This window comes from Homo sapiens, chromosome 9, assembly GCF_000001405.40.
Source record: "Homo sapiens chromosome 9, GRCh38.p14 Primary Assembly".
Classification (NCBI taxonomy): domain Eukaryota; kingdom Metazoa; phylum Chordata; class Mammalia; order Primates; family Hominidae; genus Homo; species Homo sapiens.
This window is the reverse complement of record NC_000009.12, coordinates 130,418,387-130,441,511: the sequence shown is the minus strand read 5'-3', so window position 1 is coordinate 130,441,511 and position 23,125 is coordinate 130,418,387. Positions and strand designations below refer to the sequence as shown.

The 23,125-nt window shown below is 55.2% G+C and overlaps 1 protein-coding gene and 1 long non-coding RNA gene across 10 annotated transcripts in view, besides 4 other annotated features; one reads left to right on the top strand and one right to left on the bottom strand.

Moving 5' to 3' along the window:
- Positions 7,389-23,125, bottom strand: part of HMCN2 (hemicentin 2) — a 168,364-nt gene continuing 152,627 nt past the window's right edge. For 4 of the 7 annotated variants that reach the window (NM_001291815.2, XM_011518467.3, XM_017014585.2 and 1 more), the window contains 13 exons: positions 22,471-22,740; positions 18,786-18,935; positions 16,599-16,736; positions 16,382-16,503; positions 15,588-15,825; positions 14,137-14,199; positions 13,893-14,015; positions 13,023-13,154; positions 11,827-11,955; positions 10,908-11,228; positions 10,026-10,145; positions 8,957-9,083; positions 7,389-8,164 (listed from right to left, as the gene is read on the bottom strand). In NM_001291815.2, coding sequence (NP_001278744.1) covers positions 7,819-8,164; positions 8,957-9,083; positions 10,026-10,145; positions 10,908-11,228; positions 11,827-11,955; positions 13,023-13,154; positions 13,893-14,015; positions 14,137-14,199; positions 15,588-15,825; positions 16,382-16,503; positions 16,599-16,736; positions 18,786-18,935; positions 22,471-22,740 — 2,279 coding nt within the window. In that variant the 3' untranslated portion in view covers positions 7,389-7,818. The other 3 variants (XM_011518466.3, XM_011518465.3, XM_011518468.3) reach the window with 3 other exon arrangements.
- On the top strand, positions 7,697-20,267 carry LOC107987134 (uncharacterized). 3 transcript variants are annotated; one of them, XR_001746958.2, is made up of 4 exons: positions 7,738-7,891; positions 16,367-16,490; positions 17,679-17,798; positions 19,879-20,267. It is a non-coding gene; the product is annotated as an uncharacterized LOC107987134 (long non-coding RNA). The 3 variants fall into 3 exon arrangements; XR_007061816.1 differs by having other exon boundaries at positions 7,697-7,891; positions 16,367-17,798; XR_001746957.2 differs by having other exon boundaries at positions 7,719-7,891; positions 17,679-20,267.
- Positions 12,623-13,168: an enhancer, noted in NCBI's record as "H3K27ac-H3K4me1 hESC enhancer chr9:133303731-133304276 (GRCh37/hg19 assembly coordinates)". NCBI's record gives its function as "activates a minimal SCP1, AML or CMV promoter by ChIP-STARR-seq in primed H9 embryonic stem cells {active_cell/tissue: H9 hESC(primed)}" and the evidence as "EXISTENCE:reporter gene assay evidence [ECO:0000049][PMID:30033119]".
- Positions 14,263-14,810: an enhancer, noted in NCBI's record as "H3K4me1 hESC enhancer chr9:133302089-133302636 (GRCh37/hg19 assembly coordinates)". NCBI's record gives its function as "activates a minimal SCP1, AML or CMV promoter by ChIP-STARR-seq in naive H9 embryonic stem cells {active_cell/tissue: H9 hESC(naive)}" and the evidence as "EXISTENCE:reporter gene assay evidence [ECO:0000049][PMID:30033119]".
- Positions 18,898-19,698: an enhancer, noted in NCBI's record as "OCT4-NANOG-H3K27ac-H3K4me1 hESC enhancer chr9:133297201-133298001 (GRCh37/hg19 assembly coordinates)". NCBI's record gives its function as "activates a minimal SCP1, AML or CMV promoter by ChIP-STARR-seq in primed H9 embryonic stem cells {active_cell/tissue: H9 hESC(primed)}" and the evidence as "EXISTENCE:reporter gene assay evidence [ECO:0000049][PMID:30033119]".
- Positions 19,699-20,501: an enhancer, noted in NCBI's record as "OCT4-NANOG-H3K27ac-H3K4me1 hESC enhancer chr9:133296398-133297200 (GRCh37/hg19 assembly coordinates)". NCBI's record gives its function as "activates a minimal SCP1, AML or CMV promoter by ChIP-STARR-seq in primed H9 embryonic stem cells {active_cell/tissue: H9 hESC(primed)}" and the evidence as "EXISTENCE:reporter gene assay evidence [ECO:0000049][PMID:30033119]".

Here is a 23,125-nt window from a genome sequence, read left to right as displayed (position 1 = left end):
CAGTAGAATGTTGAATAGAATTGGTAAGAGTAGTTATCCTTTCCCTGTTCATGATCTTAGGGCAGAGGATTCATTCAGTCTTTCACCGTTAAGTACAATGTTAGCTGTAGGTTTTTCATAGTTTTTTTTTTTTTTTTTTTGGTCAGAAGAAGTTCACTTTTCTTCCTTATTTATTGAAAGATTTTTACATAAATAGGTACTAAATTTTGTCAAATGCTATTTCTACACCTATTGAAATGATCATATGATTTTCTCCTTTATTTTATAAATGTGGTGTGTTACATTGATTGGCTTTCAGGTGTTGAACCAACCTTGCATTCCTGGAAAAAATTATATCTCAAATTGATTTTTAAGAAAAAAAAGAAACAGAAGGGGAATCTTTGGGTTAAAAGAGCTATAAAAGATAAAATCAAGGCTGGGTGTGGTGGCTTATGCCTGTAATCCCACCACTTTGGGAGGCTGAGATGGGCAGATTGCTGAGGCCAGGACTCTGAGACCAGCCTGAGCAACATAGTGAAACCCTGTCTCTAGTCAAAATACAAAAACTTAGCCAGGTGTCATGGCGTATACCTGTAATCCCACCTACTCAGGTGGTTGAGGCACAAGAATTGCTTGAACCTGGGAAGCAGAGGTTGCAGTGAGCCAAGACAGAGATTGCAGTGAGCCAAGATTGCACCACTGCACACTCCAACCTGGGCACAAAACGTGCTCTGTCTCAAAAATAAAATAAAATAAATCACAATGTTTAGATCTCATTTAGATACTGATTTCTTTTAAGTGCAAAAGAAATATTTTTATTTTTATTTTTATTTTTATTTTATTTTATTTTTTTGAGACGGAGTCTCGCTCTGTCGCCCAGGCTGGAATGCAGCGGCGTGGTCTCGGCTCACTATAAGCCCCGCCTCCCGGGTTCATGCCATTCTCCTGCCTCAGCCTCCCGAGTAGCTGGGACTACAGGCGCCCGCTACCATGCCCGGCTAATTTTTTGTATTTTTAGTAGAGACAGGGTTTCACTGTGTTAGCCAGGATGGTCTCGATCTCCTGACCTCGTGATCCGCCTGCCTTGCCTTCCTAAAGTGCTAGGATTACAGGCGTGAACCCCCGCGCCCAGCAAGAAATATTTTTATAAGCAGTTGGAAGTTTGAACACTGATGAGATATTCAATAACAGCAAGACAGAATTACTATTGATTTTTTAGGTGTAATAATAATGATATTGTAGTTATTTTTCTTTTTTGAGACAAGGTCTCCTCTGTCTCCCAGGCTGGAGTGCAGTGGCACGATCTTGGCTCACTGCAGCTCCACCTCCCGGGCTCAAGTGATCCTCCCACCTCAGCCTCCTTAGTATCTGGCACTACAGGCACATGCCACCACACCTGGCTAATTTTTGTATTTTTAGTAGAGATGGGTTTCATCATGTTGCCCAGGGTGGTCTTGAACTCTTGGCCTCAAGCAATCTGCCTACCTCGACCTCCCAAAGTGCTGGGATTACAGGCATGATCCACTGCACCCAGCTTGTAGTTATATTTTTATTGAAAGATTTATAAAGTTTTAGAGCTATGTACTGCAATATTAATGAATAAAATGGTTTCTGAAGCAAGGTTTTGATGGTCCCCATGACTCTTAGGTTCAAATCTCAATGGCTGTACTTCCTCCTCTGCCCTTACCCACTATACTGCTGCTGCCGGCCTGGCTGTGGTTGTTTCAACGTGTCAAGCCCTTTTTGCCATGTGGTCTTTCCACACACTGCTCCTTAGTGATGCCTCTTATCCTTTCCCTCCCCCACCAGATCAGTTGCTTGTCATAAGCTCTGATACTGGCACAGAGCAGAGGGCTGAGGCCTCCAGCAAGAAAATGGAAGAATGTGAGCGCTCTGGTTCCTGCTGTCTCTCCCCACTGCTCTTATCTTAGCCTGGATGACTGTGACCTCTCACATGCACCTCTGCAGGAGACACCTCACCTATCCTCCTGCCTGTGCTCACCATCCCCTCTGCTCCATGCTCCACATTGCAGCTGGGGGCTTTTCTAAGAGTCAGCTCTGACCTTTTCTTTTTTTGAGATAAGTCTCGCTCTGTCGCCCAGGCTGGAGTGCAGTGGCACAATCTCGGCTCACTGCAATCTCTGCCTCCTGGGTTCAAGCAATTATTCTACCTCAGCCTCCAGAATAGCTAGGATTACAAGCGCCCACCACCGCACCTGGCTAATTTTTGTATTTTTAATAGAGACGGGGTTTCACCATGTTGGCCAGGCTGGTCTCGAACTCAACCTCAGATGATCCGCCCACCTCGGCCTCCCAAAGTGCTGAGATTACAGGCGTGAGCCACCGCGCCTGGCCTCAGCTCTAACTTTGGTGGCCACTTGTCTGAGTGGCTACAGGGCAAGCTTAATGGATGTGACCTCATCGAATGCCCCCAGCCACCTAAAGGCATAGATACAGCCTGTGTACAGAGCCCTGGAGTGGGCTTCCTCCTGCCTCCGTTTCTCGCCTCTGCCACCCAAGGGCTCTGGACCTGCTGGGCATGAAGGGGCCTGGGTGTGTAGAGACTTCAAGGATCTCACCCTGAAACCTCCTTGTGGTTGGCACCAGAAGCCACTTTGCCACTGCCCAAGCCTGGGCATTGGCCCTGGGAAAAGAGAGTGTCCTCCAGGCCAGACCCTAGGTTGCCAGTCCTCGCCCACAGGAACACAGAGTCCAGTTGTTGGGTTCGTGGAAAACCCACATCAGGGAGTTCAATGCCTGACCTGCAGGCCTGTTTTCCACCCCTGATGGTGCAAACAGACTCGCAGAGGTCAGGTGGCACCAGGGGGCTGGGCAGCTTGGACAGAGTCTTGGCCAATGACAGCTGGCAGCTAGAGAAAAAGAAGTGGCAAACACCCTTTTTGGATGGAAAATACTCTCTGGCTCTGGCTGTGGCTTGCTTGGGAGGGGCCTCCTCTGCTTGGTAACCTTCCTTAGGGGCGGGGTAAGCAGTTGGAGTGTAGGGGAGGAAGGGACTGGGTCAGAATCTACCTCCAAGGCCTGGTCTGCCTTGGGCTTTCTGTGTGACCTTGGGTAAGTCACTCCTTTCCCCCGGCCTCCGCTCCATAGCCTCAAATGGAAAAGGAGGGAAAAGTGGGGAGGCAGGGGGCTGAATAGACACTCCCTTTTTAGCTCCTCACATCTTGAATTGCCAAGGGCCCTTGTCTTCAGCCTGCCCCTGGCCCTCTCTCTCTTCCCCCTTCCTTGGAAAGTGGAGGCAGGGGAGCCTGGTGGTCAGAGCCCAGGACTCTGGAGTCAGATGGACCTGGGCTGAGTCCTTCTCTTCCCCTCCAGGCTGTGTGAGATAGATAAGTGGCTTCCTTCTCTGAGCTCTCCTTCTCTCATTTGTGAAATGGGGATGCTGTTTCTTGGCTCTGGAGCTCCTGGAAGGACTAAGTAAACCCAAGTTGCCGGGCACGGTGGCTCACGCCTGTAATCCCAGCACTTTGGGAGGATGAGACAGGCGGATCACGAAGTCAGGAGATCGAGACCATCCTGGCTAACACGGTGAAACCCCATCTCTACAAAAAAAAAAAAAAAAATTAGCTGGGCGTGGTTGGTGGCGGATGCCTGTAGTCCCAGCTACTCTGGAGGCTGAGGCAGGAGAATGGCATGAACACAGGAGGCGGAGCTTACAGTGAGCCGAGATCGCGCCACTGCACTCCAGCCTGGGCGACACAGTGAGACTCTGTCTCAAAAAAAAAAAAAAAAAAAAAAACCTCAAGTCTGTAAGACACTGGACAAAGACTTAACAAGTAGTAGTTTCACAAACATGGAAGGCCTGCGTGAGACTGGGAGCGGCCTGCAGGAGACAGCAGGGGTGAGAGAGGAGTGGCACCTCCCCTCTGTGGGTCTCCGCCTCTGCATCACCTCCACAAAGTCCCCAGCTCCATAAAAAATTAACAGCCTAGCGAAGAGCAGTGCTCCAGTTCTGACCCGTTGACCCCTGGCGTTGCACAAAGAGGGGCGTTCGGCCCAAGGAAGGCCCTCACAGGTGGACCCTGGACGAATAGGGTACAGGAGGGCCTGGGAAGCCCCTCCCGCACTTCTTCCCGCCTCCTCTAATCTCTCCACCCAGCCTGGACTTCCATCATCAGTAATTTCTGTGGTTTAAACCAGAGATCAGCAAACTCTGGTCTGAACTTGTTTTTGTAAAGCCTGCGTGCAAACTAAGAATGGCTTTTACATTTGTAAATGGTTGAAAAACATCAAAAGAAGAATATTTCATGGCACATGAAAATGATAATAAATTTGAAATGTAAGTGTCCACAAATAAAGTTTTATTGGAACACAGCTGTGCCCATCTGTTCATGGGTCCTCCGGGGCTGCTTTTGCGCTGCAATGGCAAAGGTAAGTCATTTTGACAGAGCTTGAATGTCCCGCAAAGCAGAAAGTACTATCTGGCCCCTAACAGAAAAACTTTGCAGACTGGTTTGAAGGAAACCTACAGTAAGAAGCATCCTGGAGAAGGTTCTACTGGGGCTGTTAGGTGGGAATCAAGAGTCCCAGTTTGACCATTAACCAGTCACACCTCAGTCAAGTGACTGGATCATGTTCCCTCCCTGTACCCCCCTTTCTGCATCTGTAAAATGGACACAGCGATTTTTTCTCTGTGTACCCAGAACAGCTCTGTTAAGACAGCCTGATTGTCGTTCATCTCTAGAAGGAACTAACTCAGACAACTTTCCTCATTGCCCAGATGAGAGGGAGGGGACAATTAGGGGGAGCTGACCATGTCACACTAAGTAGGAGGAACAGGGAGAGAGGCACTCTTTTCTTCAGAACCATATGCAAAAGACAACCTCTCTCTCCCAGAGGCTGTGTCAGGGGCAGCTGGCAACAAAGAGGCCACCAGGCAGGGGCTGCTGCCAGCCCAGGGAGAAGGGCAGGAATGGGAGGAGAAGGATAAACAGCCAAGCTCCGTTTCACCTACACTCCTCCCGAGACCCAGCACACTGGAGATAGGCCAACACGCAGATATGCATTGACTTTCTTAAAAACCATTTTCGTTAGAGATGGGGTCTCGCTCTCTCACCCAGGCTGGAGTGCAGTGGCCAAATCATAGCTCACTGTAGCCCCAAACTCCTGGGCTCAAGGGTCTTCCCTCCTCAGCTTCCCAGGTAGCGGTACTACAGGCATGCACCACCACACCTACCTATACATGTGCTCTTGTATAGGTCACTCATCAAAGCCAAAGTCCCTGTGGTGGCCCAAAGACCTCACAGGATCCACCCCACCCCCTTGACCTTTCTGTCTTCCCTTTCTCCCACCTCATTCATCTCCAGCCTCCCCAACCTCCTGGCTGGACCCTCCTGCCTGAGGGCCCTGACACTTGCTGTCCCCTCTTCTCCTGCCCTGACCGCCTATTAAAACTATCCCAGGGGCCGGGCACAGCGGCTCACATCTGTAATTCCAGCACTTTGGGAGGCTGAGGCGAGTGAATCACTTGAGGTCAGGAGTTTGAGACCAGCCTGGCCAACATGGTGAAACCCCGTCTCTACTGAAAATACAAAAATTAGGCCAGGCGCGGTGGCTCACGCCTGTAATCCCAGCACTTTGGGATGCTGAGGTGGGTGAATCACCTGAGGTCAGCAGTTCGAGACCAGCCTGATCAACATGGAGAAACCCTGTTTCTACTAAAAATACAAAATTAGCTGGGCATGGTGGTGCATGCCTGTAATACTAGCTACTCGGGAGGCTGAGGCAGGAGAATGGTGTGAACCCGGGAGGTGGAGCTTAAAGTGAGCCAAGATCGCGCCACTGCACTCCAGCCTGGGCGACAGGGCCAGACTCTGTCTCAAAAAAAAAAAAAAAAAAGACTACTTAGGAATTGTTGCACTACACTTCCATCCATCCATTCGTCCAACAAAGGCCCTTCCTGTAGATGAATTAGATGAATTATTAAGGCCAGGGCCTAGAAATGGCCCTTGCCTTCAATAATCCATCCCCCAGAAGGGGAGATGCTATCAGGAAAAAGATAGCTCAGAAGAGGACTGCAAGTGAAAGCCAGGGGTGAGCTGCAAAGGATACAAGATGACAAGCAAGCCATAAAGAAGCCCGCTGTAAGAGTCTATGACTGGAAAGCGACAAGAGTTAGAAGATAAAAATAGGCTGGGGTAAGCCAGGTGCAGTGGCACATGCCTGTAATCCCAGCACTTTGGGAGGCTGAGGTGGGCGGATCCTTTGAACCCAGGAGTTCCAGACCAGACTGAGCAACATAATGAAACCTCATCTCTACAAAACATTTAAAAAATTAGGCCGGGCGCGGTGACTCACGCCTGTAATCCCAGCACTTTGGGAGGCCGAGGCGGGCAGATCACCTGAGGTCAGGAGTTTGAGACCAGCCTGACCAATGTGGAGAAACCCCATCTCTACTAAAAATACAAAATTAGCCGGGCGTGGTGGCGCATGCCTGTAATCCCAGCTACTCGGGAGGCTGAGGCAGGAGAATCACTTGAACCCAGGAGGCGGAGGTTGCGGTGAGCCGAGATAGCACCATTGCACTCCAGCCTGGGCAACAAGAGTGAAACTCCAACTCAAAAAAAAAGAAAAAAAATTTAGCCAGGTGTGGTGGTGCATGCCTGTGGTCCCAGATACTCAGGAGGTTGAGGTAGGAGGATCGCTTGAGCCTGGGAGGCAGACATTGAGGTGAGCAGAGGTCACGCCACTGCACTCCAGCCTGGGTGACACAGCAAGATCCTATCTCAAAATAATAATAATATCACACTGGTATTTTCCTAAGGGAGTAGATATGAGGTGTTCTTGCCACAAAAATAAGTATATACAAGATGATGGGTATGTTTTAATTTTTTCAAGCCCACACAAAATCCAAATGGATATATTAATTGGTTTGACTATAGTAACCATTTCATTATGTGTATCAAAGCATCACGTTGTATGCCTTACATATATACAAAACATTAATAATTAATATAAAGGCCAGGCATGGTGGCATGTGCCTGTAGTTTCAGCTGCTCTGGAGGCTGAGGCGGGAGGATCGGGAGGCCAGGAGGTCGAGGCTGCAGTGAGCCACGATCATGTCATTTGCAACTCTAGCTTGGGCGACAGGACAAGACCCTGCCTCTAAAAAGTAAGAATTATTTTTTTTGCCACCGGCTGTTGCTGTCTTTGCAACACATTTACTCCTCATTTAATAGCCCCACAGCCCTATGGGGGAAGGGAGGGCCCTACTGCAAGAGTTTATGGATCGGAAAACTGAGGCCAGGAGGTGCCTGAGGCAGCCCTACTCCTAAGGAGAGGAGGCTGGTAGACTCAAACTGCAGTGCTCCTGGATCAGAACAGAAGGCATGGTCTCCTTCCCAGCCCAAACCCTTCCCTACAAAGCAAAATAATTAGACAAAGAAACCAAGTTGGTTAAAAAAAAATCCCTTTATATTGCAACAGGGTTCAGAATGACACCACCAGGTGTGGCCGGGCGACAGCTGCTGCCACCCCTAACGCGGGGTCTGCCCCCTCTCCCGCGCGTCCAGGTGCCCTGTGTCCCTGTCCCGCTCCCACTGAGGGGCGGATCAGACCTGGAGGTCTGATCCGGGCTTCCCCGGGCCCTGCCTGCGGGACTGGCCACCCAAGGGCCGCCCTGGACGCCTCCCTCTGTGAGGTCAGGTCCTCGCTGTCGGGGGTCAAGGCTGTGCGCAGGGTCGTGTTGACCCAAGGTCTCGCTGACGCACGGGGCGGGAGACGATGACGCTCCGCTTGCCACAGCAGGTGGCGTGGACCAAGCTTCTCCTCGACCCCTTCCTCGGGGGTCACGCCAGGGCGGCCGCCAATGCCCTCTCCCGTTTAGTAGGGGTAGGGGGACACGGCGATGAGCAAGACGAAGACGCTTTGGTGGCGCGGTGCCGCAGCACGCACGGTGAGCCGGTAGAGGCCGGCGCGGGTGAGCGCGCGACGGGTGTAGACCGCGCCAAGGCCCGCGCGCAGCGGACGCAGCGCGAAGGGGCTGCGGGGGTCGGGCTCCAGCATGCTGAGCTCGGTGCGGTTGGCGGGGACGCCGACCTCGGAGAAGGCGGTGAGGCGGGCCACGTCGTGGTGGGCGCGCACGCCCAGGGGCAGCGGCAGCAGCCGGTACTGCAGCGTAGAGGGGCCGCCCGTGCCGCAGTCCTGCGAGCAGCGCCGGAAGCACGTCCTGCGGGCGGCACAGACACACGGACAGGCGGACTCGGGGGTGCGGTCGGAGCGTGGCCCATCCGCGTAACTCAGACCTCCCTGCCAGCCCCTGCAGTTCCGCCCACGCGCTGCCCGTCCTTCTCCCGCAGAGCCCCACACGCCTTCTCTGCAGGCTCCCACGCTAGCCCGTTTTAGAGTTCAACAAACTGAAGCCCAGAGAAGCCAGAGGCCTGCCCTTTCATGGTCCCTCCAGCGGACTTTCGGGATCCATGCCCCAGGGAAGCCCAGCAGACACAGGGGAGCGATGTGCCCCTGGGCCAAGTCACCCAGTCTGGATTTGCCCTGCGGGGGCGGGGTTGGAGGTGGAGACTGCGCTTAGCCTTGCCGCGGGCATCTGCTTCCAACCCCAGCCTACGTTTCTAGTTGTAAGGCCTGGGGCAGGTCACCCGCCGGGAGAAACCTTTCCAGGGCAGCAGCTGCCACCCCTAAGGTCCCCATGTCTCCGTGTGTCTTGATGAGTGTCCGTGGCCGCTGTGAGTGGCGTGGAGGAGATGGGTTTGGTGCTGGCGTGTCTGAGTTTTGTCCTGGGGTTGTGTGAGTCTGCATGGTGGTCCTGTGTCTGGGGTTTGGTGTGTGTGCTCCTGTGTCCCCGTTCTCTCCCACTCTGGCCTCTCCCTGCCCCCAGGGCTCCGTGCGTTCCTGCCTGCATCACTTGTGTGGGGAGTGACAATGACAGGGCCAGCCTGCACCCCCAGTGACTGAAAAATGTGCTTTTCCTGAGGGCACGAGGCCCTGCCAACTCAGCCCTTACCCAGGGCTGGGGCCCTGCCGGTAGGTGGCAGGACAGGGTGTGTCCACACACTGGTAGCTGCCACGGGTGTTGAAGCACATCTGGCCGGGTCCACACTCGATGCTCTCCTCCTCGCACTCGTTGATGTCTGGATGGGGAAGTTGGTGAAGCGGGGGAGGGAGATGAAAAGATGGAGCAAAGGAGAAGGGGGGAGTGCGTGGGGAGAAGTACCTTTGGGGGACCAGTGAGGTGGGCAGCCCTTCTCCCTTTGTCCCCAGCCAGTCTGACCCATGACCACCCAGCTGGAGGCCCGCAGCACCTTCTCATCTCCCTCGGGGGGCCAGGGCTTTCCAGGGCGTGTAGGTGGGCACCGTGGGGGCCTCCTGAGCAAGTGCTGGGTAGGAGGGCCTGGGAGAGATGGGGCTTTCCCTGGGTGGCTGCTTTGCCCGAAGACCCAGAGTGCCCACTGCCCACGGGCAGAGCCCCTGATCCTGTCTTCCTCAGTGGAAGCCCCACCCTTCTCAGAGGATGTTCAGTGACCTCCATGGCAGCATGAGGGACAGAGACAGGCAGGGCAGGCATGGTTCCTGTTCTTTAGAGTGGAGGAAGCAGCATGACCGGCCCCAGCCCCGTTTGTGCACACCAGGGAAACTGTGCCCGGTTTGGGAGTTAGAGGCACTTACTATACCAGCAGCAGCAGCTGTGCGGCTCTGTGCTCAACCTCCACAGCTCTCATCCCAGCTATCTGAGAGGGGACTGTGCTAGCCCCATTTAACCAGGAGGCCGGAGGCTTAGAGAGGTGAAGTGAGTTTCCCAGGGACACACAGCAGTGCTAGGATTGGCCTTGCAGGGCTGCTTTCAGAGCCTGCCCGCGTGATCTCAGAGCTCCTGTTTGGAGCATGGGCCCTGGCGTGGCTGTGGGAGCCTGGGGTGTTCACAGAACCCCTCTGAGCCTGCCTCCCCGCCCCACCTCACAGGATAGTTGTGAAGGGGCTGGAGTGAACGGAGTAGGTAAGATGCCACATGTCCCATCCCACGCTGCCTGCCCTAGCCCCACGGGTGTTTGGGCGGCGGCCTGAGCCCGGCTCACCCTGGCAGTTCTTCCCGCTGGGGAGCAGACGGTAGCCGGCGGGGCACAGGCACTGGTAGCTGCCCTCAGTGTTGCGGCAGGCGTGCTGACACAGGTTCCTCACGCGGCACTCGTCAAGGTCTGGCCCGGGCATGGGGGTGGGGCAGGTGGGGGATGGGGGCAGAGAGACGCACTGAGCCACAGACACCAACGTGGCCACACACCTGCCCGCTGGGCTCTGGAGCTGCCCTGCTCCTTCTCCCTGTCCTGCCCCTCCCAGCCCAGGTTCAGGGGTTGGGGGAGTCCCTGTGCTTGCTGAGAGGGAGGAGCCCCACCTTACCTACCCCGTGCTCACCAAGGCATAGAAGGAGCAAGCAGCACCACCCCGCAGACCCCTCCGTCCAGGCGGGAATGCCGAGGCATCAGCCCTGGGGCAGGCCACCTCCTCTTTGTCCCTCTCTGCAGGGTCCAGGGGCCATCCCCCACCCCCACCCCCCTCTACCCAGCAGTCCCTTGTCACATTCTCATGTCTACCTGGAACATTCTCCTTCACCCCTGAAAATCTCCCTCCCTGACTGCTTTCCCTCTGAGTGCTAAGAGGAGTGTTTCTCAAAGGGGGTTCCCAGGACCACTTGCCTAGGATGCCCTCCCTCTGGGCAAAGTGTCCTGAAGTCAAATGGTTTAAAAAATAGTCCACACCATCTTGGAAGCCCCCTGCCCAATAGCACAGCCAAGGCTCTGAGACACCCTGCATTGGAGAAGCCACCATCCACCACACCACTCACCCCACTTGCCTGGAAGGTCTGGGTTTCTGAACTCGGTGGGTGACACCTGCACACCCACCCTAGGGGCCCAAGAGCCCATAACGGCAGTGTCCCGTGGATGGTCAGGGCCTGGCCTTACCTGTGCAGACTCCGTTCTGCCTGATGAAACCAGGAGGGCACCAGGCCCGGCCCACACTGCTCAGGGCCATGGGACCCGGACGGAGAGAGACCCAGGCGTGGTAGGAGGTACCGGGGATCGAGGCCCAGGGCCGCAGCCAGGGCAATAGAGGGCCTCGGTGGCTGACGGTGGTCACATTTTGTCCATTCCGCTCCAGTGAGGTGCAGGCCTTGCCGTCGCGAAGGAGGGTCTGGCCTGGGGGGCACAGGCAGCGGTAGCTGCCCTGGAGGTTGTGGCACTGGTAGGCGCAGGCCTTGGGCAGCTGCAGGCACTCATTGACATCTGCAGACGGGTGGGGTCAGGTGTGTGCACAGGTGGCCCAGGTTCCCCTGCAGCCTGCAGCCATTGCCTGGCCCTGCCTTCTCTCTTGTTGGCATTCCCTAGAATCCAGCCACTCCCATGCTGCATGTGAGCCACGCTGCATCCCCCTCTCCCGGACCAACTCCAGCCTCCTCTCCGATTCCACCTACAGCTCCCAGAGGCCCAGCCTCCCCAGCTCTCAGCCTCGTCCCAGACTCCAGCTCCCCCTCAGCCCTTCAGTGCCCCAGTTAGATCCATTCCCTCTCCTAAGCCTCTCTGAGATACACCCACTTGCCTCCACAGTCCTCCCCCTCCTGAAATTCCCCGGAAGATGACCCCACAGGGTCAGGCTGAGGTTTTGGTGCACAGGCAGGCACCCAGTGAGTGCAAAGTGTCGGCTGCTGTTTGGTTATTCTCAGAACTCAACAGCACTGGCGCCTTAGACACCCTCAGCCCCTGAGCTGAGGTGCTGGCCAGAGGGTGGGTGTCCCCGTAACTAGGCAGGGCAGGCTGGGGCCCTGCATCCGGTAACCCCTGGGGCAGCTGCAGCGGTGTGGCCAGAGGGTGGGTGTCCCCGTACCTAGGCAGGGCAGGCTGGGGCCCTGCATCCGGTAACCCCTGGGGCAGCTGCAGCGGTGACCGCCTGGGGTGTTCTCGCAGAGCTGGTTGTAGTGACAGTCGTCCAACCCCTCCAGGCATTCGTCCACATCTGGGAGGCAGGGGCATGGTCGGTGGTGGGGAGGTCTAGCCCAGGGCCCCTCCCCCAAGGGACGGACCATCCCCCTCCATATCTGGGCCTCCTCCCTGTCCCCTTCTCCAGTTTCAGTGCCACCAGGCTGCATGGCCGCCCTCACAGCACCTCCCCCAGTTATACCAGGTTGGAGGTCAACAGGGTTCCAGGTCCCAGAGAAAGGAAGGGGCTGAAAGGCCCTTTGTGGGCAGAGTCCTGGGTTCCGCTGAGCTCTCCATATTCTAGCCCTTGGGCAAGGAACTCTCCCTCTCTGAGCCTCAGTTTCCTCATCCATAAAGAGGGTAAAGATGTGACCTCTTCATGGGGTCGTGGTGAGGAGGGGAGCCTGGTATGTGGGAAGAGCTAAGAAAGTGGTGAGAAAGGAGGAAAGGCGGCAGGAAGGGCGGCAGGCAGGAGAGCCCGGTGAGTTGTCGGGCACTCCAAGGGCCCTGGGGGCCACAGAGGTGCGATGGCTGATCCCCTTGGGTCAGGCTCCACCATGCTTCCCTCTCCACCGTGCAGTCTCTCAGAGGAGCCGGGTGGACCCACGGTCCTACAGCCATAGACTGTTAGAGCAGGAAGGACCATTGAGGTCACCCATCCAGGGGTGGCACCTAAGTTTTATCTCAAAGGCTGACTGAACCTGTTCCACTGTGGCTGCAGGGGCTGCTGCGTCAAGAAGGATTCAGAGGTGGTCTCTAGCTGGGCCTTGATTCATATGGGGGAACAGAACGGATGGCAGCAGAGGGAGCATGTGTTTGCCATCCCTGACCTGGCTCCCTCTTTATCAAGCAGACAAGATGCTGAGGTGCAGAAAGAAAACACCCCTGTCAAAGAAGGTGCCAGCTGCCAGGAGCCAGGGGAGGGCTCAGACCTCCAGAGCCTGGCGCAGGCTTTGTCCCCAGCCTTGCTGTACTCCTTCTGCCAAGAGTCCCAGTCTTCCTGGAAGCCCAGAGCCCAGTGACACACAGCCCCCTGTCAGCTGATCCCTGGCAACCTCTGGGTTTCCAGGAGTATGGACAGGCCGCATGCTGTGCCCCCATCACCTTCACAGCCGGCCCCATCAGCCACCCGGAAGCCAGGCCCACAGTCGGGGAGGCAGCGGTAGGACCCGAGCAGGTTCACACAGCGCTGTCCCTCTCGGCAGAGGTGAGCATCCCACGCACACTCGTCCACATCTGGGGGCAGATCAGGGCAGACGGCTGTGTGAACATGATCCCCAGGCGTGCCTCGCCACCTGACCCTGGCCCGGCCTATCCACAGAGGCTTCGTCCGCAGGCCCAGGAGCCACTGGCAGGAAGGTCCCCACCCCTTCTGCTAGCTCTTTCCATTGTCTTGCTCCCTATCCCAAAACATAGGGCCCACTCCAAGGGACCCGAGTCCTTGGGCCTGCAGCTTCCAATGCAAGGCTGCAGACAACGTCCCCTTGGGCACCCGGCTTGGAGCCCAGCGGAGACTTGGCAGCACCAGGCCCTCCCGGTGGGAGTGCAGGGATGCAGACTGGGGGTCAGCGTCAGCACCATCACCTGAGGTCAGATTTGTCATCCAGCAACATTGCTGAGGGGGACAACTCACTTGCCAGTCTCAGTCAATTGGAAATGATGCTGAGTGTTGGGAGAGCTTCCGAGGCCTGTTCAGGTTCAGAATGCGGTGAGCATGTGTAGCCGCCCATATGTCTCTGGGGCTGCCCATCACCCCCTGATACCTGGGCCTCATTCATCTGCAGCTCCCATAGCAAGAAGGAGCCTGGTGGGGACATAGCATTGGGACCCCCAGGCTGACATCAAAACCCTCAAGAATTGGCCATCCCTGCAGGTCTGTGTCCCCAGCCAGGGTCCTGGCCCTGGGGACCCTTCTGCACACCTGGGTCAGGTCTGAGGAGCGCGTCTCCTCCCTCCTCCCGGCAGCTCCCTCACCTCTGCAGTTCCTGTCATCCCAGGCCAGGGCGAAGCCAGTGGGGCAGGTGCAGGAGAAGCGGCCGGGTGCATTAAGGCAGGCATGGGAGCAGGGGCTAGGGCCTCCTGAGCACTCGTCCCTGTCTGGGGCAGGAAGGGGTCTGGTGGTCTCCGCTCCCAGGCCCTCCTGCCAGCTGGCTGGGAGAAGCCATCCATCCCAGGCTGAGAGGCCTCCCACATCCATGCCAGGGTTGGGGGCGCTCACCCACACAAAACGCTCCCTGGGAGTCCAGCTCAAAGCCCTCGGGGCAGCCGACCTCGTTCTCCTCTGCAAAGCAAAGAGGATAGACTCTAAGGACATGAGGGTGTCCTCTCCCAAGGCTGCCCTGGCCATAGCCCAGGCTCACAGCTCCCCCACTGCCAGCTTAGCCAGGCAGAGCCAAGACGGTGCCAGAGAGTCAGCAAGCCCATTTCCTGCCCAGGCCTGTTGGAGGCGATGACTGCAGGGCACGCCCAGTCAAGGAAATGTGTCCTGAAGGGCTCCCAGTGGGGCTGGCCAGTGAGTCAGGCAGCCCCAGGAAAACCATTAAAATAAAACGCAGGAGGTCAACACGTGCAAAACGGCTCTCCTGAGACCATAGCAGCAATGCACAGAGACCGTGCGGAGGGGCAGAGGATAGCGTCAGACGGGCAGCAAAAGCAAAGGCAGGGGAGGGGTGAGCTGGGTTCTGGAGGCAGGAAGGACACAAGGCAGTCTAAATCAGGGGTGTCCTATCTTTCGGCTTCTGTGGGCCACGCTGGAAGAAGAAGAATTGCCTTGGGTCACACATAAAATACACCAACACTAAGGATAGCTGATGAGCTAAAAAAAAAAAAAAAATCACAAAAAATATCATAATGTTTTAAGAAAGTTTATAAATTTGTGTTGGGCCGCATTCAAAGCTGTTCTGGGTGGCATGCGGCCTGTGGGCCATGGGTTGGACAAGCTTGGTCCACATAAATTGTAGGGACAGCCAGCCTTGATGAGGCAGCCACTAGGTGCCAGGCTAGGGTTTTAGAGACAACATCTGTACGGCGACACCCTGCAAGGCAGGCGATGTCATGCCCGCGGTGCAGATGGGAACACTGAAGCTCCGAGAGGACCAGGACATTGCCCCCAAGGTCCCACAGCCAGAAAGTGGTGTACCTCGGATTTGAACTGGGGTCTGCCTGACCTCAAAGCGGTGCTCTTAGCACTGTCTCTCATTCAATGTTCAAAACACTTTGGGACCTCAAATAATGTGAACGTATGTATCTTTAGCATTCACTGGGTGAACAGAAAGCATGTTCCTGGGGGTCTCTAGGGTTCCAACAGTGGTTCCTGGCTCCTTGGGTGTGGCCTCAGTGCAGGTGCCCTCGGGAGAAGAGGGCGGGGTGACTCAGTTCCTGAACATCAGCCTGGGGTGGTTGGACCTTCACCCTGGGGCCTGGGGAAAGGATCCAGAGGTTGGAACAAGGGTGGCTTAGAGAGCTGTGTCCCTGTGAGGAGTGGGGGGTGGATGGATGGGAGTGGGGACAGGCCAGGTGAGTAGGCCAGCCGGGCCGTCTCAGTCTGAAGTCTCTGGCCCATGGTCAGTGGATGTTAGGGGCAGGGGTGGATTCCAGCCACGTGCATTTGGGCCCCCTGGCAGGTTTTAGCTGGGGCAGTGGGGGTGGAACAAAGCAGAGGGGCCTCACCCGCCTGCAGGGCTGTAGCGAGCTGGAAGCGCAGGGCCTCGGCCTCTGGATCAAAGGCCGAGCTGATAGCTGAGGCCCGCAGGTGCTGCACCAGCTGGGGCTGGGGGCCCCGGGCCGCGTTGTACTGGATGCTGTGGTTGCAGCGTAGGAACGAGGGGAGGCCGCCCTGGAAGAAGCGCTGTGTGGAGCCCACGAACAGCTGGCCAGGCCCTGTTTGCACGTAGTGCTCCTCAAAGTCCTGCAGGATGAAGAGGAGGGGAGGAGGAGGAGGGGTGGGGGAGAGGGAGAAAGGGGTCAGGGTTGGAAGGGGAGGAGGAAAATGCTGAGATTTCAACTCCCAAGCAGCCTGAGACCCTTACCCCAACTCAGGGGCTTGAGGAGGCTTGGGAGAAGATGGGGTGAGCCTTGGGAAGAGATGGGGTGAGCCTTGGGAAGAGATGGGGTGAGCCTTGGGAGGAGATGGGGTGAGCCTTGGGAGGAGATGGGGTGAGCCTCCCAGAGCCTCTTCTAACCAGCTGGGCTGCTCTAGGCAGCTCACCTCTCTTCAGGACTCGTGCTTTTGAACAAGAATACTCTGATCTGAAGTCGCAGGGCTCAGAGCATCCCTTCAAGCGCTTGAACTTGAGCCTGTTACAACTGCTCATCCTACCCTAAGTCCAAGGCTAGACTGTGACCCAGCCCTGCAGCGCTGTCAGAAGGGAGAGTGGGCCTGGCTGCTCAGGGGTGGTTGAGAGCCGGGCACCTTCGTCTCTCTCACCTACCCTGTCTGCACACCCCAGGGCTTGACCCCCGACCTGCACTTGAAGATCTGCGTCAGCCAGGCTCTCGGGGACAACGCCATTGACCACCACGTCGAGGAGCAGGAGGCCATCGGGATCCAGACCCCGGGCCACCTGGGTCATCGTGAGCAGCTCCCCTGCAAACCATCCCCACCCAGCCCAGAGTCACCACGGGAGGTCCTGGGCGCAGGCTTTAGTCCTACCTGGCCCACCTGGGGGAGGCCCTGTTTACCTGTAGCAAACTCCACGTGTGACTCCTGCCGGAACCTGCCCCCAGTCAGAGAGTGGCCATTCAGGGCTTCCCCACTCTCTCTGGCCAGGGCCCAGTAGATGGGGGCGATGGTGACCACGAGCACCCGCATCAGAGGCCCTGGGTGGGGCAGGGCATAGAGGCCGGGTTAGAGCTGATCCTCAGGGCAGCCACCTCCTGTTCAAGGTCCCGTCATGGCTCCCCACTGCCCCCAGGAGAGCTCAGCCCCTTCCCTTGATGTCCATACTCAGCCTTGTGACTGCCATGCCAATTATTTAACCAGAATCAGGGATCTGGTGGAGGCAAATAATCTACTTCCTGGAGTAACTGAAATTAATAAATTTATACAAGGAAATGCTAGGCGACATAGTGAGACTCTGTCTCTACAAAAAATAAAAATATTAAGGACAGGCCGGGCGCGGTGGCTCATGCCTGTAATCCCAGCACTTTGGGAGGCCGAGGCAGTCAGATCACGAGGTCAGGAGATCGAGACCATCCTGGCTAACACGGTGAAACCCTGTCTCTACTAAAAATACAAAAAAAAAAAAAATTAGCCGGGCGCCGTGGCAGGCGTCTGTAGTCCCAGCTACTTGGGAGGCTGAGGCAGGATAATGGTGTGAACCCGGAAGGCAGAGCTTGCAGTGAGCCAAGATCATGCCACTGCACTCTAGCCTGGGTGACAGAGCGAGACTCCGTCTCAAAAAAAAAAATTAAAAAAAAAAAAAATATATATATATATATATGGACATTAGCCAGGTGTGGTGGCATTCACCTATAGTCCTAGCTACTGGGGAGGCTAAGGTAGGAGGATCGCTTGAGCCTGGGAGGTTGAGGCTGCAGTGAGCTGTGACTGCACCACTTGCACTCCAGCCTGGGCAACAAAGCGAGAAGCAGTCTCAAAAAGAAAAAAAAAAGAAGAAATAAATGCATGTACCTTGTTGATATTTAACTCAGTTCAACAAATACCGATTGAGGGCCCCGGGTCACCACGGAGCCAGGGACTCCACAGACTGTCATTATATATTTGCTGAGTTGAAGTGAACCAACTTTTCTAACTTGCAGATCCCTTCTGGACCAGCCCCGGTTTGTTCCAAACCGTTTGAAAAAAGAACCAAAAAATGGCCCTGGACGTGGATTCTCAGATCTTCTTCATGTGATGCCCCGCCCTCCACGCAGGACCAGGTGGGGCCATGGACTGGGCAAGGGGAACACACCCGCTCCCCACTTGCTCTGAGTCAGGGACGGTGCCAGCTTTGCAAGGTTCACAGGAGCTGGCCAGGCCCCTGTGCATGGGCACCACCTTCCCAGCCTCTCTGTGCGTCTGTTTCATGGAACAAAGCCTGGTCCACGGGCTTGGGGCCAGATGCTTCTCCAGGCCTCACACTCCTGCAGCTAGAATAAGCAGCCATGTCTGGGCAGCGTCTCGCTTCATCTGCTGTCTGCTGACAGCCAGCTCAGAGTGACTTCCCCAGCAAAATCCCCTGACCCCACACTGCTCATGCGGGACCATGGCCAAGGGCAGCTTCAGAGGAGCTACTTTCAGTGAAGACTCCATGAATACTGCCCCTCCTGGACCCCCACGAGGGGCCAGGGATTCCTTGGGAAGGGAGAGACAGTGACGTCCACTGTCACAAGCTCTGCAAGTCTCTCAGAGCATTCATCGCTCAGACACCGTACATGAGAGCTCTGTGTGCAGGTGACTCTTCTTAGTCCTCTAGGTTTTCTAGGCAATTCAATTCTCCATGTTTCCCGCTTCCCGTCACCTCCAGCCTGCACCCCTCACTCATGACTGGAGATCCCTCCACTTCCATCAGCCTGAGCTTTAACTTAAATGGGGAAAAGCCTCAGGGAGCCATCGGTGGCTTGGGAAACCACAATCTGAGCGCCCGCACCCCCAGAACACTGACCGTTTCACACACTCTTGGTCTGACTGTAAATGCAGTTCCTTTGTTTTTGGGAGGTTGTGAGGGGGACAGGAAGTTGCCTGCATCTGAGTCCACTTTGGATTGCACTCAGCTTTGAGAGATGGTCAGACGTGCTCTGGTCATCAGGCCTTGAGCAAGTCTCGGGGCACAGGCTCTGCGCCTCCTAGGTCCAGCATGTTCTGGAGGATGCTCGCTGGGCTGTGACAATAACCCAGAGGCAGGTGATGCTCTGCCTTCCACTCACCCACGTTTGCTGGGACATGGCGGATGCTGCTGTGGATGCTGCTGACCCCGGAGTGTGCCTCCTGCATCACGCTGGTGTTGAGTGTGGCCACGCCAAATTTCCGGCCATTTATCACCCCAGTCATGCTGCCCCAGCTCCCCTGGGGCTCCCCTGTAAGGAAGGGAAAGAATGACAGTGCCACTGACTATCCACCCCGGGGCCCACAGCACAAGCAGGCTGTCATTCCCATTTCGTGAAGGAGTAAATGGAGGCTCGGAGAGTTCACCTCCACTTGTCCAAGGACACACAGCTAAGGGGTCATGGACTCAACGCCCAGGGGATCTTGGCTCTAAAAGGGAAGGGAGGCTGTTAGGAGGAACCCTGGGCTCAGGGCGGAGCTGGCTTCTAATTCTGGCTCTGCCATTCCTTAAAACCTGGCCACCTCAGGCCCCCAAGCCACACCTGAGTTGGCTCACCTGTAAAATGAGGAGGCGGGACCACAAACTCACAGAAGACCTGTGGGTCTCTGAAATGCCGGGAGCCCACGATGGCGTGGCTGGCACACTGAAGGAGCCAGGGCACCGAGCCAGAGCCGGGTGCCATCACCTGAACAGCCCCATTCCATCAGTGCTGCTGGCCCTGGCTGCCCTGCAGCTGGCCTGGCCGGGTGGGCTGGTTTCCTAGCCGCTGCCCGCCAGGCCATCTGTGAGCAGATGCTCTTTAGCGCTAATCAAACGGATGATGCAGGCACAGGGGGGTGCTTCCTCTGACTAATGCGCCAGCTGTCTTGTTTAGGCAGATGGCATTCCAGGGGGCGAGAGACAGAAGTTAGCCTGCCTCTCCACTCAGCAGCTCTCAGGGGAAATTAGCAACAAATTGCCCATGATCTGTCAAAAAATAACATAAAACACTCAAGTGCTAGGATCCTAAATGGATGAATCAAGGGGCTGGTTAATTTGGGGTTCTAGGAAGCAGGGCCATTTCCTGCAGCCCATAGCTGGGGTTTGATGAGATTTGAAGCCCATCTGGGATGTTTCTCATCAGTATCCGATGCTCTGGGGCCCATGGGAGGGACAGGAGAAGGGCCGTGAACCTATCCCTGGCCTTTTAATAGGGGAGTGAAGAAGAGATCGGGAGCTGCAGATGAGAAGGCTGGAGTGTGACCCGCGCAGCTTTGGAAGGGGACAGGAAATGGAACCCAGGCACGGCAGGCAAGCCACCGCCAGCTCTCTCAGACATGGAGTGACGTAGCAGCCTCTTGTCCCCCTACAAGGCCAGGATTGGGACCTGCCAGGCTGATGGGGAAGGAGGAAAAGCAGGTTTTCAGGAGGGAAAACAGGTTTAGAAGCTCCCAAACCCTGAACTCCCTTCACCCACCCATGCCCCTTAAGGAAATCGTCCCACAGAAATCTTCAGGGCCACACACAAAGATACGCAGCACGGTGTGGCTTTGGGGAATGGAAACTAGGAAAATAAACTACGTTGCTCATTTGACAAAGCCAACACGAACGAAGATAAAAAACGTTCCCATGGAATGATACGAAGCCAATCAAAAAGCTGTGGACCGATGTGTATCATAATTGGATGTCTTCCAAGATAGAGGAAGTAAAAATGGCAGGTTATAGAGGGTGTAAATTTGACATTTGTAAAAAGAAAAGTGTATCTCCTCTATCCAGAGAAAACAGTGTGGAAGAATGTATCTCCCCAAATAATTGCTTAAGCTACTTTGGGTCACTGAATTATGGGAGAGAATTACCTTCTTCTTCACAGATTTCTATAGTATCTGGCCTTTCTACAGTTAACATATATAAAGGAAGAATATTTGTTTCTATTAAAAAAAAATAAGGAGGCTGGGTTATGGATTGAATGCTACCACACCACCCAAAATTCATACGTTGAAGTCTTAACCCCCAGGACCTCAGAATGTGACCCTATTTGAAGATAGGGTCTTTATAGAGTAAGTCAAGTTAGAATGAGGTCATTAGGGCAGGCCTAATCCAACATGACTGTGTCCTTATAAATAGGGAAGTGTAGACACACACAGGGAAGATGAAGGCAGAGGTGGGGGTGATGTTTCGACAAGCCACAGAATGCCGAGGACCACCACCAAGACCCTGGGAGAGAGACCCAGACCAGATCCTCCCCACAGTGTTCAGAAGAAACCAGGGCTGCTGACAGTGTGATCCTGGATTTGCAGCCTCCAGAACTATGAGACAATCAGTGTGGCTTAAGCCTCCAGCTTGTGGTGTTTTGTTTTGTTTTGTTTTGTTTTGTTTTTTTACCAGTAGCCCTACAGAACAAATACAAAGGCCATGTACATAGCTCTGTGGTTGGGACTGGGGCCTGCCAACAGGAGAGGGTAAGAAGTGGGACGGGCCGGGCGCGGTGGCTCACGCCTGTAATCCCAGCACTTTGGGAGGCCGAGATGGGCGGATCACGAGGTCAGGAGATAGACACCATCCTGGCTAACGCGGTGAAACCCCATCTGTACTAAAAATACAAAAAACTAGCCGGGCATGGTGGCGGGTGCCTGTAGTCCCAGCTACTTGGGAGGCTGAGGCAGGAGAATGGTGTGAACCCGGGGAGCAGAGCTTGCAGTGAACCGAGATTGCACCACTGCACTCCAGCCTGGGCAACAAGAGTGAGAGACTCCGTCTCAAAAAAAAAAAAAAAAAAAAAAAAGAAGTGGGACGAAGCCCTGAAATACATGGGGGTCTGCTTAGACCCAAGGCTAACTCTGAGACTGCATCTCTGGCTGGGGGGTCAGAGAACCGCTGAACTTTCAGAGCTGCATAGGTTGGTACCCTGCCCCGGCCTGTGGGAGATAATGAGAGCAACGGCCAGAAAGGGTCCCACATTTGGTTGGCAGTGGGTTTCACGTGGATTTCCAGGTGGCCAAGTGTCAAGTCCCAATTCCAATTAGCTGAGAGGCGCTGCCTGGGAGGGCTCATTGGAGAAAGATTCTGCCAACGCATGTGGTGATAGATTAGTGATGTCTGCCAGGGACAGCGAGGGAGATGCATCGCCACACATAGGGAGTGTTCCCATGTGGTGATAGATTAGTGATGTCTGCCAGGTACAGGGAAGGGGACACATCCCCACATATATGGAGTGTTCCCTTCAGAGGCACAGGCCACAGAAATAATATCTTATGACTTGCCTTTATGCAGGTCTGAATCCATTTACTGTGGTTTCTCAGGATAGATCTTTTCTTAATTTTAAAGTTGGTCTGACCCAAGGTAGAAGGGAGCTGATTGAGGAATCGAGATGGCAGGGGTCCATCCCACCAGGAAGCCATTTCTTTTCCAACCACCTGCCACGGCCAGGCAATGTGTGATGCCTGGGACATGCACTGATGCACAGACTTTTCACAGCAGCCCCCGAGGGCACCGGGGATGCCCTTGTCTTCCTCTGCCTGCTTCCAGGGGCTGTGCAGTGTCCAGACAGAGGACATGCATTTGTGCCAGTTAAGCAGGAACAACCTGTGTTCCCTGTCCAAGATGAGCAGCAAACAGCACCTCCAAGATTCAGTTTACCCAACTGTAAACGGGCAGGGTAGGGGTTCATTCTGGGCTTGTGATGAAGCAAAGGGAAGAGGTGGGGAGCTGGCAAGGCAGGGGACAGGTCTCCCATAAGCACCACACAATCCCCATCGGCAAGAGATCCTGCCTCTGTCCACGAAGGTCCAGACAGGGATGCCCCATACCTCTCACGACCAGGAACGCCCGGGCTGTGGCAGAGCCCAGGAGGTTGTGAGCGACGCAGTCGTAGGTGCCTGCATCCCCAGTCTCCACGTTCTCCAGCCACAGGCTCCCATCGGGCAGGGTCCGGAGCCGCCGGCTGGCCCGCAAGGGTTGACCCGCCTGTAGCCATTCAATGGTGGGTGTGGGCTCTCCAGTGGCCTGGCACCGCAGGGCCACGTCATCCCCAGATCTCACTGTCATGTCCTGGGGCTCCACCTGGAACACCGGAGCACCTGTGGGAGGCCCAGGTGGCTTTTAGGAACATTTAATTATTTTTGCATATTCAAGTGGGATATGTTCATTTAGACACACTGGGAAATCCAGAGAAGCAGAAAGAAGAAAATAAGAACTGCATAGGATCCTTCCACCCAGTCATCGTTCCTGAATATTTCCCTCTAGACACTGTTTCTTTATGAAAATATGATCATATGGCCGTATCTGCTTTTATTTTATTTTTTGAGATGGAGTCTCACTCTGTCCCCCAGGATGGAGTGCAGTGGTGCGATCTCAGCTCACTGCAATCTCTGCCTCCTGGGTTCAAGCGATCCTCCCATCTCAGCCTCCCAAGAGCGCCTGCTACCACACCTGGCTGATTTTTGTATTTTTAGTAGAGATGGG